Below are 19,402 nucleotides of genomic sequence, written 5' to 3' on the forward strand. Positions count from 1 at the left end.
AGAAAAAACTCCGAAAAGCCCATAAATTTAACAATATAACCTAGAGCAGTTTAAATACAAGATATTTTATCTACATGTGAATGTTTCAGACATAGCAGAGGTTTATTTATTGATATTTTAAAACCAATAGAAACATGGCAAAAATGCTTACATGTAAAATTAATGCATCTGAGAATGTGACCTCTAATAAATTAGAACAAAACTATGAATAAAAATAAAAAGTTAAATATTTGGATGAATAATATTACTAAGCACCTAAAACATAACCCTTGATATACTAAATCTTATTTGTTATTTTGATAGATTTTCACTAAAACACAAGAGTTTTGTTGCCTACATAAACAGTATATAATGAACGCCATTCATATCTTTAAGAATGTTTCATTATGACCATTTTGTAGACATGTTAAGAATGTTTCTCTGGACAGAGTATACAAGACTAGTATAGTCTAGGATTAAGTGAGAAAATAACTTAGAGTAATTGAATTAAAATTTATCTTCAGCCATAATGGAGTTTTTGGCACTGAAAACTGGACAAAATATATTAAAATATATTAAATTTTTACTCAAACAGAATAGAACTGCAATGCCTCAGAATAGAGAAACTCACAAAGTGATGGCCATGATTAGTCTGTTTTCTGCCTAGGGACAAACTGCAACACAGAGAGGTGGAACCTGAGCACAGAATGGTGGTTAGACTAAGCTCGGGAGGCAAAAATCAAAATTACAGGATAGCTGTAGATTTGGGGTATTTTTCCTTCACATAAGGAATAATTAGGACATTTTATACATCATCTGCTGATATCCTACACAACTAATATTTTTGGAAATTTACAGTGGAAAATGCTGGTATGTGATCATCTTTCTGGTTGGATTGTAATTTCACAGGATGCCCCATTGTTAAGCAGAGGGGCTTCTCTATTGTCCTCTAAGGAGCAATTTCCTCCTCTGTGTATGGAAGTCTGTGTCTGCTTTGAATGCCACTGCATCTTCTGTTATCATAATTAGTAGTCCTCTCCCAAACTCAGATTAATCAAGTTCAAATTATCTCTATTTTTGGATCTCTAAGAATGGGCTACTTGTATTATTACCAATTTTCTCCTATTTATTGATAATTCTTATTATTTTTGAACTGATCTGAGACTGGAAATTTGTGAACTTCTGAACATTTTTAATTGCACAATCAGCCACTGTTTACCATGGCTATCCTCCTAAACCTGCCTTAATTCCAGGGTATATGTCTAATGGCACACCCTTTTATTTGTGTAACTTGACAAAAATAGCATATCTGAGTCAAGAATCCCAAGATTTTACAACTCTTTCTCTTAGCTACTTTATTTATTTATTTTTACTAATACTGTATGCTTCATGAATATTTTCCATATAAATTAATCATGGACACCAGATTTAACACAGGCCCTTCTGTTTTCATTTTCTATTACTTCCCTATTTTACTTTTATTCCTCTCATTATTCATTCCTTCTGTTTAAGTTTGAGATGGTCATTTTTGAAATAGATTTTACTTATGTGTAATAGATAAAGATTAGTTCTTTGCTAAGTGATTGATAGAGAGAATGGCAATGATTAACCTTGGAAACCACTCAGTCTAGGAAGGAGATATTCCTGATTGTGGCCATGAGGTATGAATGGAATCCAGAAGTGTCTGTTGTCATTACAGAGCTTGTGAGAGGTATAAACATGCTACACATCCACAACTCTTCCTCTTACTTCCCCTCTTACAACTGCTTCCTTCCATCTACTGTCATAGGTCCTCATCGCCCCATTGGAAATCTCCTTTAGCCCTTGAATCTTAAGTATGGCAGTGTTAAAAGTGAAAAACTACTCATTCAGATAGTTTTACAAGATAACTCAGAAGAAGGTGGATACATTCCAGAATGTCTTATAATAATGTAGTTATTAAGTCTAGTTATGAAACAGAGATATGAAAAATCAGTACAGCAACTAATAGCAACTGCTATTCAGTCAGAACCTCCTTCATACTAAAGTGCAAGATAGCTTCTACTCAAGGAAACTAGTTCTAAATAGTCTGGCACAAAATTGGATCAATTTTGTACGAAAGCTTTTTCATATTTTCTCTGTTTTGCATCAGCACTCTGACCATTAAAGTTCATGATATAATATTCTATAAAGCAAATTTCTATTTTGGAGTTTGCCTCAAAATTTCTAATTTTATTTTTAAGTCTATACTTATTCTGCTCCTGTTTTCCTTACTAAAACACACAGAACTGTACAAAGAGTTAGGGGCAAGAGTAAAATTATTTGGATCATCTCTGTCTTTCAGCCAATATTATTGTCCGTTGTTGGTAAAAGATGTAGGATATGGGTTGACATATGTTGGGATAGACCACAGGACTAATACATACCATTAAATAGAATAGGCTTAGCCAGAAACAGCCCTCAGAATTTGTTGGTCAGGGCACAATCAGTGATCCATAGTTTGGACACTGAAGGATTACAGAATATGACCAAAACATTAAAATAGGCCATCCATGAAGGGGAAATACAGAGAGAAGTGCTAACAAACGTGGATCAGAAACCTGAGCACCACCATGAAGCTCTTCTAATGGAGTAGCCTCGGAATGCAGAAACAAAAGGGAACTTAAAAAGAAAGAAAATGAAAAGGATGCAATTCCTCCCACATTCTTTGGCTCATGTGGTCTCTTTTCAGTCCTCTAGCTAGAAAGAGGAGACTTTCTTTTAGAGTTTTTGCTGAGTTCACCCCTGATGCAGTTCTGAGAATTGGCACCCCCTTTATGTCAAAATAGTAAGATAAAAGTGAGAAAAAGAGTTGTGATGCTCAAAACTTTATGGTTCATTATTTTATATTTCACTTTCTTCCATGATCTGCCTGTTGTCGGCTTTTCATAGTCCTCTGGTAGATGCTCTTCATGTTATGTTCTGATATTTTAGTTGTAATAACTGTGAGAAACAGGCTCTAGGGATCTTTCTCCTGGCAAGGCTGCCAATCCCAAGATGAATGTATCAAATATAATAGCATTTGCATAGACCAGCAACACAAATAATAATATAAACTCATTTTGGTTTAATGACTTAGGAAAAACTAAATGGAGAAAAATAAAACTAAATTTGGAAAGCATGCCTTATATAAATATGAACTCCAGATGAAATAAGACCTAATTGTGATTTACAAATCTGAAAATAGAATGAATAATAAGGGTGATATCATTGTGTCATAGGGTAGGAAAGTATTTCTATATACTCTGAAACTACAATCCCTAAACTAGCAACCAAAAAAAAAAAAAAGAATATATCAAAACTAAGAATTTTTTAAAAATAAAACAAAGCACATTATGGACAGAAATATCAGAAAGTAACACTTTGATAAAATACTCTTATTGTGTAAAACTGAGAATGAATGAGAATATACAAGGGACTCCTGAAAAGTAACTAGAAAAATACTGGAACCACAATAGACAGGCAAAGAATATAATAGACAAGTTTTAGAAGAGAAACCCCAGAATGCTAAAAATCATATCAAGAGATGGTGAAATCCTTTTATAATCAGAGCAAAGCAGAGTAAAATAATAATAGATTTTACTTACGCTTATTAGACTAGTAAAGATTAAAAATGTGATGAATTAAATAGTACGAATCTCCATGCACTGATGGAGCAGCTCTCCTGGAAAGTAACCTGGCAGTATTTATTTAAATTAAGAATATGCATGATTTATTTCGTTACTCAGTATGTATTTCAAAGTAATTCTAACACTGGTCCACAAAAGGACTCAGTATTCTATATGGCATTCTTTGTGACATTGGAAGTTGCAGTTAATCAGTCCACTTTCAGAAGAGTATATGAGGTATACATAGAATATATGAAAAATGACTTATGAGGTGATTGAAAGAAATGTATTCAATGTACTTCAATCATATGATATGATTGAAGCGTAGAAATATATTTGAGAAAAAATAAGGTATATGTTTTACACATACATCTAAATATATATATAATATATATAAAAAACCATATACACAAATTTGAAATTTAACACATTTCAAAATAACACACATAAAGTAAAATATTCAACATATTAGAACTATTGCCATTGGGCTCATGAGGAGCATGGGAAAGGAAGTGACACAGAATAAATAAATACATCCAGAAATATCTTAATAACAAAAGCTACACATCATTTTATGGTTTCTCTTGCATTCTGAAACATAATTAGCTCAACCTTCAATACTGAAGATTTATAAATGCACAACAACAAACACACTTGTCATATGAATGTATAGTATTTTGGAGGAGAGAGGGTAATAATAGATGTTTACTTGACTTAGGGAACTCCTGTTAATCTTTCCTAGAGCATCTTTGATCTGTGTTTTGGATAAAAGAAAAAAATATCATTGATGTGAGAAAATTTTCCAAAAAGAAATGTCTGAATGAATGATATAGTAGTTTTATTTCTTTTTTTGTAGCCTCTCCATATTATAGCATAAATTGATGCTGGTGTAATGCTGGTTGGACCAGGTGAATAAGAAATAGCAACAATTCTAGATGTATTGGTAAGTCATTTGTTTGAAGGAAGGTGGGAAATAAATCCAACAAGGGTTCAGAGACTTGCCACCATAGAAGCTTTCTGTAGATCCAGTGGTGAGGGGCTTGTGGAGATACCTTTCCTATGTGAGGAAGGAATTATTTTTCTCTTTTTTCTTGCCTTTCTGTGGGCTAGTGAACATTTGCTGGGGGTCAGTCTTGGTTTATTAGCAGTATTTTTGACTGTATCTCTTTGTATACTTCCCATCACAGTTGCTTTGTATATCATTCACAGGTGACTTATAACATTCTATCAGTAACATTTACCATGTCAAGTGGAATGTGGAGACTTAATTTCTATTTAGGTACCTTTATTTTTCCTGAGACACTACTACTATCTCAGATAGTGTTAAAAATCTTTGTTTCAATCATCAAATACAATTATAAAACTAAAGAGGAAAATATAGTGTGTTATATGTATTCATATTTCCAAACTTTCTATCATCTTTTTTCCTTCCTTGATGTTCTAAGTTAACTTTTGTATCATATCATTCCTGAATGAAGAGCATTCTTTAGCCAATCATTAAAATCGGACTCCCAGGGACAAATTATTTTAGCTTTCCTTAACCATAGAATGTAATTGCCACCTATGATAAGCCCATGGCCAATATGAGACTCAACAGTGAAAAACGAAAAGCTTCTTCTAACATCGAAAACAAAACCAGAATGCCCACTTTCTCTACTTCTATTCACTCAGGTACTGGAAGTCATAGTGAGAGCAATTTGGCAAGAAAAATAAAAGGCATCCAAAGTGGAAAGAAAGCAACAAAATTATCTGTTTGCAGATGACATAAACATATAGTAAAAATCCTTAAAACTCCACAAAAAACTTAGAATAAACAAATTTAGTAAATTTTCAGGATGCAAAATAAACATACAAAGTCAGTTGTATTTTTATATGCTAACAATGAAGTACCAGAAAATGAGATATTAAAAATTCCATTTACAATAGCATCAAAAAGAACAATATACTTAGGAATAAACTTAACCAAGGAGAAGAAAGACTTGTTCATTAGTTTATTTTTTATCACTTCTATTTTTCTGTTAAGGTTTTCTAATTTTTTCATTTATTTCAAGAAAACATGCAATTGAATTTTGAAGCATTTTTATGATGACTGCTTTAAAGTTGTGGTCAGATAATTCCAATATCTGATTTGTCTTCTTGTGTTAGTTGATTTCCTTTTCTCATTTAAACTGTAATGTTTTTGATTACTAGATATCATAAGTGATTGCTTATTGTGTCCTAGACATGTTTTTGATTATGTTTAGAGACTCTGGATCCTATTTAAACATTTTATTTTGGGGAGAAGTCACACCTTTTAGGTTAGTATGTAGGTATTGGCCTGCTTTGCTCTGATGTATTTCCAATGGCAGGTTTATTTTTACTATTTGCAATGTTACTTTGGTCTGCTTGGTTTATCTGGTGCTGCCGATGCTCTTGCTGGTACTGCTGATACTGCCTGGGAAGGTAGAATGCATTTCCCCTGATCAGGCTGCTTGGTGACTCTAGGTAGGAAGGGGTGTGGAGAGGTCCCATTATCAGTGCCCTCTGACTTCACCATGTCCCTGGGCATGTGAAGAGGCTCTCGTGCCCTTGGGGAAAAAAAAAAAAAAAAAAACAGGTTGTCTGGGTCGTGCTGTTATTTACTGTTGAGTCTCATTTATCTTTTGCCTATTCCACTAACTTGTTAGGTATTTCTAGGAGGGTGAGGAGTTTCTCGAGCACACAGGGTGAAGAGGCTTCCTGGACTGGGCCATTTGTTGTAACTGGATCCCTTTTTCTAGTTCCAAAAGACTTCTCAGTATTTTTGGATGAGGGAGGAGAGTCTTGGAACATAAGGGTGAATAAACCCACACCCACAGTTATAGGAAATCCAATGAAGGCTAAGTAAAAAACATGAAGAAAACTATACCTAGTCTCATAAAAATAACTCCCTCAAAATCAAGGAGAAAATTTTAAAATGTGAAAAACTGGCTCTATTAGTTTTCCAGGGTTGCATTAATGAAGTACCACAGTCTGGGTGACTTAAACAATAGAAACTAATTTTTTCATAGTTCTGAAAAATAAAAGTCTGAGTTCAAGGTGTCAGCAGAAGTGATTTCATTCTGAGGCCCTTTTCCTTGGCCTATAGATGGCTGTCTTCTCTCTGTCTTCACATGGCCCTGTCTGTGTATTTCTGCTCCCAAATTTCTTCTTATAAGGATATCAGTCATACTGGATTAGAACCCATCGTGATGACCTCATTTAACCTTAATTAGTTCTTTAAAGATACTCCCTCCAAATACAGTCATCTTTTTAGGTACTGGGACCTAAAATATCAACATATGAATTTTTAAGACGCAATTCAACACATACACAAGGAGAACACAATCCAAAGGCAAAGGACATGTTATACAGAAAGGGAAAAAAGGCAGAGGGAGATATCACTTGTCAGAAACAAGGTAAGCAAGGATGTAGAGGAGAAGCACTGGAGAAGCACCCTTAAAAAACTGAAAGCACAAAGACAAAACAAAAACCATCACCACAAAATTCTATGCCTACCACAAGTATCATTTACAATTGAAACAACAGAAATTTTTTTTTTCAGAAATAAAAGAACTGAAATAATTTATCACCAGGAGATCCACATTAAGAAATGCTAACATCTTTCAGGCTGAAGAAAAATAATGAAAGATGGAAGTTTTGATATATATATAATGAAGTAGAGTGAACCAGAATGACATAATAAGATATATATATATATACACACAAACACACATATGCATATGAGTTTATCATATAATTTAAATCTTTTTAAAAATTAACTGCAGGCTGAAGAAAATATATTCTGGGATTTATAACAAATTAAAAAGTAAAGGTATTGCAGTAATAGCAATAGTGACAGGAGACAGACAAATTCCTAGGCAGACAGGGACAGGTCCCTGGTGAAACCTGACCTTCGAGCCAAAGACAGCCTGAAGCCTAAAATCCTAACTGCCAGTTCTGGATAGAGTCCATGACTGGAGTGAGAACTTCCATTCCTGCCTTACCCTCTCTTTCTCGATTTGTTTCTTCTGGATGATGCCTTTTATCCAAATGAATGGTGCTTTTTCCAAAGACTGCCCATGGACCAATCAGCATTCATTTCCCCATTGTAAGCTCATAAAAACCCTGGACTCAACCACACAGACTGCTACCCACTTTTGTGTCCCCTCTCACCACTGAGAGTGTTCCTTCTGTTGCTCAATAAAATTCTTCTCTGCCTTACTCACTCTCTGGTGTCCACACACCTTATTCCTCTTGGTTGTAGGACACAAACCTGAAACCTGCCGAGCTATGGGCAGTGGGAATGAAAGAGAGCTGTTAACATGCTCCTGTCCACCAGCCTATGGGAGATAGAGAGCTGTAACATGCTATCATTCACTGAAATACAGGAGAAAGATTGCTGTAGCATGTTCCTGCTCACTGAGCTATAGAAGTGAGGAACGGTGACATCTCTTGGGGGCTCAGACCTCAGGACTCCCCAAGCAGAAGCTGCAACATTCCTCGGGGCTTTGCAATTGCTGGCATCTCCAAGTTTTTAGGCACCACCAGGCTCCTCTTGTCTAGACACCAGTGCCCAATGCAGAAGCTGCTTGTAGCATGCCCGGTCCAGCTGTGGGCTGAGTACCAAGCCACTGAAGGTGCAAGATCTGAGCAAGTGCAAGCTCAGTTCAGCCTGCTGGGCTGAGCAGGCAGAGCGAACCCAGCCACAGAGATTTCCGGCTGGTGAAGCAGCACCAAAGGAATCCTGTAACAATAACATAAAGGTGGACAGGAGGAGAAATGGAAATATGAGTTTGTTTACTATAGGTAAATATAGACTTACCATATGATCCAGATATTTCACCTCTAGGTATTTATCCAAGATAAACAAAAACATATGTTATAAAAAGATCTGTACATGAACATGTATGTTCATATCATCTTTATTTGTAGTAGGATAAAACAATACCTAGAAACAACCCAAATGTCCAACAAAATATGAATGAATATAGCAATACAATGGAATACTACTCAACAATAAAAAATAATTAACTATGGATTTATAAGATGCCACAGACGAATCTCAATGTTTCAAAATAATTAAGGGGAGTAAAATAATTGAGCTACAATCATAATCTCTAATTGCATTCATATAAAAGTCTGGAAAATCCAAACCAATATATAGTGAAGAAAAGCTGACAGTGGTTGGAAAAAGGGATGGGTAAAGGCTGAAAGGAGGAATTAAATAGGCAAGATAAAACTTCCATGGGCAATGGATATATTTGGCAATGGATAATAGTTTCATGGACATATGCCAAAAGGCATAAATCCAGCACTTTAAATAAGTAGAGCTCATAAAACCATAGTAATTTGCTTTCAAAAAAAAATGGAGCCTTATTTACCCACAATTGTCACTTGTACCAAATCAGCATATTTAAATATTATTTTTAAAATAATCTCAGCCTCTGATAAGTTTACAAATTCTTAATCACAAGCATCTGTGTACAGGTATTTAGGTGGATAATGCAGCTGATATGATATATTTATTAAGCCCAGTGAGCAATGTTAACAACAATTATACTCTTCATTTTAATAGAATGTTTATGTTTGATGTTTAAATAATTTCATTATCAAGATGAATAATAGGATTGACTTTGACAACTTTCTTAATTACTGATTTTGACAGGAAGCCAACGCTAATTAGAATTTCATTTTTTAAAAATGAATACATTGTTTGTAATGAGCCAAACATCTCTCAATTAAATCAGAGTTCTAATATTGCCCAAGTTGTCATTTTAATTACAGCATAATATATGTAGAGAATAAGTATGTATTTTAATTTTAAAATGTGACTTTTAAATGAACTAATTTATAGATGAATTTTTGGTAGTCTACTGCAATTTCTGCTATATGTGATAGAGATATAAAAATCATTTTAGCATTTAAATTTCTAAAAATTAAACTTTTCTAATTGTATTTGAAATAAAAAAGTTTTTCTTCCTATGGGAATAGGACATTACAATATGCACTACAAAAACCAAAAGCTTTTGTTGTGATCCTCTACGTCTGACCCGTGGGTCACAAGTTGACAATGTTTCCAATTTTCACCCCTCCTCCTGCCAACCTGTAGACCCTAGGGTTCCTAGTTCATTTCAAATGGTTGAGTCTGGGCTTCATTTTTGAAGGAACTACTCATTTCAATCTGTTCTCTTCATCCATGCCAACAGTTAGTTGACATTTCCTCATGATGAAACTGAGAATCAGAGTAGCTCTTCTTGGGGGCCTCCAACAATTGTAAATAACCCTTTCTTTCCAGGAGTCCCTTTGTGTGCCATTGGGATTATATTTCTTATATTCGAAGCTGGGTATTAAGTTGCCTCCCCACCAAAAAACAGTGACTTTCACCTTAGGGTTGGTTGTAAGACTCCTTCTAGTGTTTAAGGAAATACTGTGTTAGTTCTGGAAGCTATCCGGATTAGGCAGTGTTGGAATTGTCCTTGTTGTTGCCCATGGTGGTATCTAGGCGATCTTTAATGTAACCCGCTGTACCTGTATTAATGCTTTGGACTTGGTAGAAAAGTTAATACAAAAACTACAGTAGAATGCCACCTGACTTTCTAAGGTAGACACTGTTAGCTTTATGGGGTTTATTCAACTGGGAATATGGAGGACAGTGCTGAAGTCAATAATTAATTTGGCTGTTAGGGGGTTCTGTTAATAGTAGCTTTAGTTAAATGCTGCATAACACAAATTAAACTGATTTAGCCCTAGCCCCTGGCAGTCATATTAATCAGAGTCAAAGAGGCAGGCAGATGGCACACTTGTGAGAAAATTCATCAGTAGTTAAATGGTATAGAAATGAGTGTCGGGTATTAATGGGAGACAATTTTCTATGAGTCTTTTTCATTTGTGCATGACTTTATCATACTGTGTTTTTGGACCGTCTTTTCAGTTATATTTGTATGGTAAACAGCACTGGAAGATACAGTGGCTCATTCCAGGATGGAGGATGCATGGATTTCCTGAGAAGTTTAATAAAGATATGTCATTCCAAGGCAAAGATTAGGTGGTTTGCAAGCACCCTGATTTGAAAGATTGGTGGTTTTTCATACTGTGCCCTGAGTAATAAAGTTCCTTATAAGTGACCTAGGAGTCTCATGTTCTTTGCCAGAATTATGAAACTTTGTCAGGGTAACTATTTATTTTGCAAGCAGGGTAAAAATTTCAGACATTTTACATTTCTTAGCAACCTTCCCACAGTGTGTAATCAAAGCATTAATTCCTGAGGCCAGATTGGTGATTCTTTACACAAGGAAACAAAAGTGACTGGAAAGCAGTCATAGCTACTTATGTTTAATTGTACATTTGTTGTGTCAGGCCATGGAAACACTAACCCCTGTGGATCCAGAGTGTTTTTCACAAATCCATAGTTCTTGATATGTTTGACGTTTTCATTTCCTGTGTATACAGTCACTCTAACAAATAGCCATAATTCCCTGGGGGAAGGATGCAGGGAATCATCACAGTGTTTGTTTACCATGACTTTGTAGGTCCTTTTCTCTGGGGACCTGGTCATCTTTTGAGTCAATCAATTTAAGGTATGAAAACTCAGATCTGAATTGGCACAAAGCTTCTGATTTAAATTGAGGTGTCTATCAATTGTACAGTCTCTTCCTTTATATAGATTAAGCAAACCCTTTGCCAATTTCTTCTCTATCTTGTCTCTATGGAAACCATATTACACTTACCATCCCTGGATATCTCTAAAGGTTAGTCACCTGCCTGTGACTAAGATCTTGCTATTCCTTGCAACAGTTGCAGACAGCTTGCTTCTGATGGTTAAGCACTATCATTATCACCTCCTTTATGTCATGCCCTTTGCTATCTGGATGGTCACTTCTGTATTACTATCTCCTTCCAAGTTGCCTGCAGACAACATCCTCCACTTCTCAATTAATTCCAGTACCTTTCTCACCCAGGTATCTCCTACCAACTATGATTTGTCTTCAGTAAACCATAGTCAGTTGGTAGGCTCTTGATATTACATGGTATCCACTAAAACATGTTCAGTTTTGTATGGCTTTTTTTGAATATTTCTTCAACTTGCCACAATAGTTCTATTATTTCTGTTTGCTTAGGGTGGATCATTACTTTCTCTAAGCTTCACAGGGATTTGCTAGCAGCATAATGATGCTATCTTCTGGCATCCTTATCAGGATGTTTATTTTCTTATCACAGGAGATTTCTTCCATGTTTATAAAATTCACCAAATTTTATGTTCTGCCCTTCTTGTTCTAGCTCTTACCAGATCCATTCTCTCCCAGCTCATACAAGTGCATGTGGACTTACTCCTACAGATCTTTAACGATATAGTATCATTCCTCCTTCAGGTAACACAGCAATTTATTTATCAAGTTACGTTGTGAACAATCCTATTTTGTTGATCTTCTGGCCATGAGGGGGAGCAGAGACTTATGCTGTGGGAGGCATGCTGTCTTGAGAGACAGAGGAGTGGGCTGCTTCTGAAGATCCTATGAGGGAAACAAGTCTAGGTTTTCAAAATTTTCTAGTGCATCTACCCAAGTTTCTCAAGTTCATGTCTCAGGATCCCAGTCCTTCCAAATCAAAACCCTTACAATGGGATAAGCAGACTTGCTGTGTTTGAAAGTTTAATCTTATCTTTCTCTCCATTGCTCTGAAGGTAGATTGTGATAGAATGTGCAGGTCTTATGTTAACCTGGAATTAAAGAGATACAATTTAAAATAGGGGCAGGAGATACAAGTCAGTGTCTCTCCACACACTAATAGGAACTGTGGGAGATGGAGTTTGAGCATAGGCTTCTGAGGGAGGTGTCGGGTAATTAGATTCCAAGATGAATAGGGTTATAGCAAATAAATTTGGCTCATCTCCAGATATTGTAGATGTAAAATTTAAGCAGGTGGGAGCAGAGCTTATTTAGATTTTATTAGTAATTTGAGGAAGAGGGAAATACTTCAGTGTCACTGATGGAGGCCAAATTGTCAGAGACTGGGCTAGTCATTCTAGCAATTTGTTCCAAAATAAAGAGAAACAGTGAGATACAATTAGAGCACCAGCCAGTTTCCAAACATTGGACCAGCAGGAACAAAGCAGGAGCTCTTCTATTTCTTTGTGGCTCCATTCTTCTTTTCTTCCCTTACTGCCTGCAGATCTTTTTTTTTCTTTCTTTCTCTTTTTTCTCTTTTAGCTTCTTTGTTTCTGCAGTATGCTTTGATGGATAAAACATTTAGTTCACAAGATATATAGAATAAAAAAAGGATAGCTACATTACATAGAAATTAGGAGTGATTAATATTGGTCGGGTGAGGAATTAAAAACCATTATCGCTAATTCCTACAGAGCTTCAATTTAGAAAACTGAATTTTTGTTGTTGTTGTTGTATCCAGATGGTATCGCATTGGTATGGGGAGAAGAATAGATTAGGCTGCAAGTGCCTAGCTGAACACCTATGAAAAACTGATGTCGGGCAAAAGTAGAACCGAGGTTAATAATCATTCACTTACTAACATGGAAAAATCTGCTCCACATCAAGGAGAATGATGGCTATGAATATTTTTACTGAAATATATTATCAGTAGAAGAAAGTGGATATGGACAATAGAAGAAGATATATGTGAGAGAATGCCAGAGACTCTAAAGGAACAATAATTTAATTTATTGTTTACTTATTAACATATTTAAGATAATTCAATGGAATTAATTCCTTATTTGATCAAGAGGAGGATGTGAATAACAATGCTTTAAGATGAAAGAGATGTATGTTTAAACAATATTAGCAATTAAACAAAATGTTCATATTAAAACCAATAGAGTTAGAAGTATATTTCCTTTATTCTTTTATTGACTTTCCCTCAGGAATAAAGTAAGAACCATAAAGTCAGTAATTGCATGAACATTTCCATTTAATATCATAGGGGCTGTTGAATTCTCAGCAACTGGATTACCTTTCTGAAACTTGGAGAATAATATGGATATAAAGATGACTGTTTTCTCCTTATTGAGTATACACAAACTAACAATGTATTACTAATTTAGATGACTAGTCTCATAAAACAATTTCCTTTAAACTTTTTTTGTAGTCAAAGCATTTCCAAATAATAGGATCTTAGAATCTGATACAAATTTAGAAAAAGACTGTATGACATTTTAGAAAAATTATAAACTTTCAGAAATAAGTCAGAGTCAATTATTTTATTTGGGAAGATAGCATCTTATTACAGAAGGAAATGAAAATTTCACATTATGGAAACAAAGAAACTAACTCAAAAAGGATGCATGTCATGCACTATTATCAATAATAAGTCTCTGGCAAATGCCTATATATAGAACCTAGTCTTGATGATGGAATTACAAATATACGAACCTCTCTCTAGAGGGAATTAATGTAGACTTCTATAAAAGCAACATCTGCTCAGTTTCAAGAGCAGGGTGCCAGTGTGGCTGGATCACAGCCATCCAGAAGGACCGCAGATTATGAGGCCTGAGAAGAATCCTATGGCCAGAACATGTATGGCATTTTGGAACACAGTAAAGATTTCTGATTTTACCTGAACTGTAAAGATTGATTGTAGACATTGAAGAGTCACCACCAATCTGCATTTTGAAATGATTACTTAGACTGTTGTACTGATAATAGATTGTAGGGGAAATACACTGTAAAATGTAAAAAGGGAGACCAATATGGTAGCTACTACATAGTCAGAAAAGCGACAATGGTGGCTTGGATTAAGATAGGAACAGTGGAATTGTTGACAAGTGATCAGACCTGGCCTATATTCTAAAGGCAGATGACCAGATATTCTGTTGCATTATAAAAAAGAGCAGTTAGGATGCTTCCAAGATCTTTGTCCTGAGCAACTGTGTGATTGAGATTAACAAATAATGAAATAAAGAATTTGGGGATGGGGTAGGATGGGGTTGAGATATCAAGATTTCTGTTTTGGATGTGAATGCTTAGTGTAAAGATATATGAGCCTACAGCTTGGGGAAATATTAGAATGAGATAAAAATTTGGATTCAGCAAGATATATGTGATATTATAAGTAATAGGATTATGCCAATGATGGAAGCATTATTGATTCCAGGCAAATCACAGTATTTGAATGTAGTAGTGATGAGAATAATTTGTAAGACTAAGCTTTAGAGTGCTCTACCTTGAAAGGCTGGTCTGGAAGAGAGGATCCAGCAGAAATCACAGGAGGAAGCCACAGGAAGCCAACGCAAACCCCACAACTCTCTATTATATAGTATAGAAACTATTTTTGAGTGTCATTGAATAGACACTATTGAATAGTGTCTTTACCTTCACGTTTATTATAATGTTCATTATATATTCAACTGTTCACATTCTTAATATGTACATTAAAATATAAATTCTTTGATGGTATGGAGCATGTCTCTTTAGCTCACCACTTTATAGGGTCTCATTCCTACTCTAGTGTCCAGTATACCTAGGTACTAAAAAATAATTGTCCCCCTTTTTCACAACGGGTTTGCCGCCAGAACAGAGGTGTCATGAAAACTACCCCTAAAAGCCAAAATGGGAAAGGAAAAGACTCACATCAACATTGTCATCATCGGACACGTAGATTTGGGCAAGTTTACCACTACTGGCCATCTGATCTAAAAATGCAGTGGCATCGACAAAAGAATCATGGAGAAATTTGAGAAGGAGGCTGCTGAGATGGGAAAGGGCTCCTTCAAGTATGCCTGGGTCTTGGATAAACTGAATGCTGAGCATGAAGGTGGCATCACCATTGATATCTCCTTGTGGAAATTTGAGACAAGTAAGTACTATGTGACTATTATTGATGCCCCAGGACACAGAGTCTTCATCAAAAACATGATTACAGGGACATCTCAGGCTGACTCTGCTGTCCTGATTGTTGCTGCTGGTGTTGGTGAATTTGAAGGTAGCATCCCCAGGAATGGGCAGACACGAGAGCATGCCCTCTGGCTTACACACTGGGGGTGAAACAACTAATTGTTGGTGTTAACAAAATTGATTCCACTGAGCCACCCTACAGCTAGAAGAGATATGAGGCAATCAATTCAGCACCTTCATTAAGAAAATTGGCTACAACCCCAACACAATAGCATTTGTGCCAATTTCTGGTTGGAATGGTGACAACATGTTGGAGCCAACTGCTAACATACCTTGGTTCAAGGGATGGAAAGTCACCCGTAAGGATAGCAATGTCAGTGGAACCATGCTGCTTGAGGCTCTGGACTGCATCCTACCACCAAATCGTCCAACTAACAAGCTCTTGTGCCTGCCTCCCCAGGATGTCTACAAAATTGGTGGTATTGGTACTGTTCCTGTTGGCCGAGTGGAGACTGGTGTTCTCAAACCTGGTATAGTGGTCACCTTTGCTCCAGTCAATATTACAACTGAAGTAAAATCTGTCAAAATGCACCATGAAGCTTTGAGTGAAGCTTTTCCTGGGGACAGTGTGGGCTTCAGTGTCAACAATGTGTCTGTCAAGGACGTTTGTTGTGGCAATGTTGCTAGTGATAGCAAAAACGACCCACCAGTGGAAGCAGCTGGCTTCACTGCTCCGGTGATTATCCTGAACCATCCAGGCCAAATCAGCGCTGGCTGTGCCCCTGCACTGGATAGCCACATGGTTCACGTTGCATGCAAGTTTGCTGAGCTGAAGGAAAAGATTGATCGCCGTTCTGGTAAAAAGCTGGAAGATGGCCCTAAATTCTTGAAGTCTGGTGATGCTGCCATCATTGATGTGGTTCCTGGCAAGCACATTTGTGTTGAGAGTTTATCAGACTATCCACCTCTGGGTGGCTTTGCTGTTCATGATATGAGACAGGCAATTGCTGTGGGTGTGTGTCATCAAAGGAGTGGACAAGAAGGCTGCTGGAGATGGCAAAGTCACCTAGTCTGCCCAGAAGGCTAAATGAATATTATCCCTAATACCAGCCACCCCGGGTTTAATCAGTGGTGGAGGAATGGTATCAGGGCTGTTTGTTTAAACTGGCCATTTAAGTTTAATAGTAGAAGACTGGTTAATGATAACAATGCATCGTAAAATCTTCAGAAGGAAAGGAAAATGTTTTGAGTACCACTTTGATTCTCTTTTTTGCGTGTGGCAGTTTTAAGTTATTCGTTTTTAAAATCAGTATTTTTTTCTTTTTTTTAAATTATACTTTAAGTTCTGGGATACATGTGCAGAAAAGTGCAGGTTTTTTCCATAGGTATACACATATTTATTTATTTATTTATTTATTTTGAGATGGAGTCTCCCTCTGTCACCCAGGCTGGAGTGCAGTGACGCCATCTCGGCTCACCGCAAGCTCCGCCCCCTGGTTTCACGCCATTCTCCTGCCTCAGCCTCCCGAGTGGCTGGGACTACAGGTGCCCGCCACCACGCCTGGCTCATTTTTTGTATTTTTAAGTAGAGAGGGGGCTTCACTGTGTTAGCCAGGCTGGTCTCCATCTCCCGACCTTGTGATCTGCCTGCCTCAGCCTCCCACAGTGCTGGGATTACATGTGTGAGCCACCGCGCCCGGCCAGGTATGCACGTACTTTTAATGGAAACAGCTTGACCAAAAATCTGTCACAGAATTTTGAGACCCACTAAGAATGTTTAATGAGAAAAAAAATTATCCAATGATTAAATAAAATAAATAGTTAGTAGGGTTTTTCATAAACATATTTTTAAGTTTGTAATTTGAATGCTTTTAACATTTAACTTTTTTTTACAATGAATGTGAATATTTTTTGTTAAAATATTTGTTCACACCTCCATTGGTTTCTTCAGTTCCATGTATTTTTTGATATTTAAAATTTTATGTACATTTATTATTTTCCATATATTTTTATTTTGTCTTGCTGAATTGTGTTTATTTTAAAAATTTACACAAATAGCTGTTATATTGGGACTTTATAAGTATTCTCTTTTTCATAGAGTTTTAATTATTTTACATTTATATAATTAATGTTTCTGGAGTACATCCTGAAGATAAATGTGTTATGAGAAGAAAAATGTATTTTCTTTTTTCCTGTCAAAAAAAAAACCCCTATCACCTTTGATACTTCTTTCTTCCAAGGTATGTATGAGTTTGAGACCTCTGATAACATTTTCAGAGGAAAATTATTTCATAAAGGAATAGATTTGAAAGCATGTAACAATGTTATGAATCTTTGTGTTAGTGCCTAGGCTAAAAAGCTTCCAAAATAAAGATGCTTTTGTTGGTTGATGTTCATTGGTTTGTGGTTGTTTCAACTTAGATTGACAGTTGTATACTGTGTGTGTGTGTGTGTGTGTGTGTGTGTGTGTGTGTGTGTGTGTATACTATATATATATAATATGTATATAAATATACATTGTCATTATCCATTTTTGTTATTTTAATTTCAAGGATGCACATATCAAAATTAAGCAATATATTTTCAGAATATTTGGTATATGTAAAAGATAGTGGCAGAAAAATTATATTGATAATTTTAAAGCCATCTTTGTTCATTTTAGAGAAAATTAAACTGTATTCTGCTTTAAAATATATCCAGAAGTTTTCAACATTCAATGGAAGAACATATAATTAAATATGATTTAGACTGTTTTAAACAGTTAGTTTACAAGTATTGTTTATAAATTAATGATTCAATTTAATGTGAACATCCTTTGTGTCAGAGTTGGGACACTACAAAATTCAGTTTATAATAATTTATGCAGTGTACAAAAAACACAAGTCACCTTTGCTTATTAGTAGGTCATTTTTCACTTTTTTAGATGAGCAAGAATAGCTTTAATGGATTTCCAAAATGCATAGTAGTTAGAGAAGCAAATTAGGTCATAATAATAAATAAATGAAGATTCTGATACTCTTATGTTTTCAAAGGTACAGGTAACTCCTTATCCAGGGTTTTTAGGGGAAATGCAGCTGTTGATGAGCATTTTTTGGAAGATGTTATTACATAATTACCGCAATTATTAAAAGCCAAACAACCTAATAGTTAAGAGCCTAAAATCAACGATGAGATAGCCTTCATTCCGTTCCCAGTTCTGTCATTAGCTAGCCGCATAATTTGCAAAAATTACTGTGTCTCAGTTTCCTCAGCTTTACAGATAAGGAAATAATAGTATCAGTTGATAGTGTTGATGTTGGGATTTAATTATTTTGTATGAGGGCGTTTAAATAGAACTATATGAGATTTTGCTACTATTAAAATTGAAATCAAATATTGAAATAATTTATGAAGAAGAAAAAAGATGTATTCACATTTAGATTCCATTTGGAAGAAATAACAAATTTCCTTTAATTAATTGTTAGTATGACTAAAAATTTATTTCACAAAGTTGCTGAAAACAAACATTTGTTAGAGTCTACAGTGTCATAGTGTTTGCTTTTTAAAATGTTAAGATTAAATCATATTGTTACTTTATTTTTTTCTAATTAATATTTTATATGAAGTGTTCTTCTATTAAATGGGTTGATGTCACCATAAAATATGAATAGAATAGCTATCTTGTCATTTCTTTTTTTCCTTCCTTTTAGTTTTTAATGTTTATGGGTATATAGTAGATACATATATTTATGGGAAACATGGGGTATTTTGATAGCTATATACTGTGCAATAATCACATCATGATAAATGGGATATTCATCAACTCAAGCATTCATAATTTCTTAGTGTTACAAACATTCCCATGGTAGCCTCTCTGTTATTTTAAAGTGTACAACAAATTTAGCCACTGCTTTACTATCACTATAGCCACGCTGTTTTCGTATCAAACACTAGGTCTTATTCATTGTATCTAAC

General features: G+C 35.4%; 2 long non-coding RNA genes and 1 pseudogene across 5 annotated transcripts in view, besides 2 other annotated features; 2 read left to right on the forward strand and 1 right to left on the reverse strand.

The window, feature by feature from the left end:
• The window catches only part of LOC124904475 (uncharacterized), a 765,263-nt gene that overhangs the window by 719,519 nt on the left and 26,342 nt on the right, over positions 1–19,402 (forward strand). The window lies entirely within an intron of this gene.
• Positions 1–19,402, reverse strand: part of LOC107985242 (uncharacterized) — a 199,987-nt gene that overhangs the window by 15,950 nt on the left and 164,635 nt on the right. The gene's annotated exons all lie outside the window — the stretch shown is intronic.
• Positions 627–1,180: an enhancer, noted in NCBI's record as "OCT4-NANOG hESC enhancer chr1:194143560-194144113 (GRCh37/hg19 assembly coordinates)". NCBI's record gives its function as "activates a minimal SCP1, AML or CMV promoter by ChIP-STARR-seq in primed H9 embryonic stem cells {active_cell/tissue: H9 hESC(primed)}" and the evidence as "EXISTENCE:reporter gene assay evidence [ECO:0000049][PMID:30033119]".
• Positions 15,101–16,766, forward strand: EEF1A1P14 (eukaryotic translation elongation factor 1 alpha 1 pseudogene 14; annotated as a pseudogene).
• Positions 16,362–16,562: a silencer, noted in NCBI's record as "peak610 fragment used in MPRA reporter construct". NCBI's record gives its function as "represses an SCP1 promoter by STARR-seq MPRAs in K562 erythroleukemia cells {active_cell/tissue: K562}" and the evidence as "EXISTENCE:reporter gene assay evidence [ECO:0000049][PMID:32103011]".

This window comes from Homo sapiens, chromosome 1, assembly GCF_000001405.40.
Source record: "Homo sapiens chromosome 1, GRCh38.p14 Primary Assembly".
NCBI classification, from domain to species: domain Eukaryota; kingdom Metazoa; phylum Chordata; class Mammalia; order Primates; family Hominidae; genus Homo; species Homo sapiens.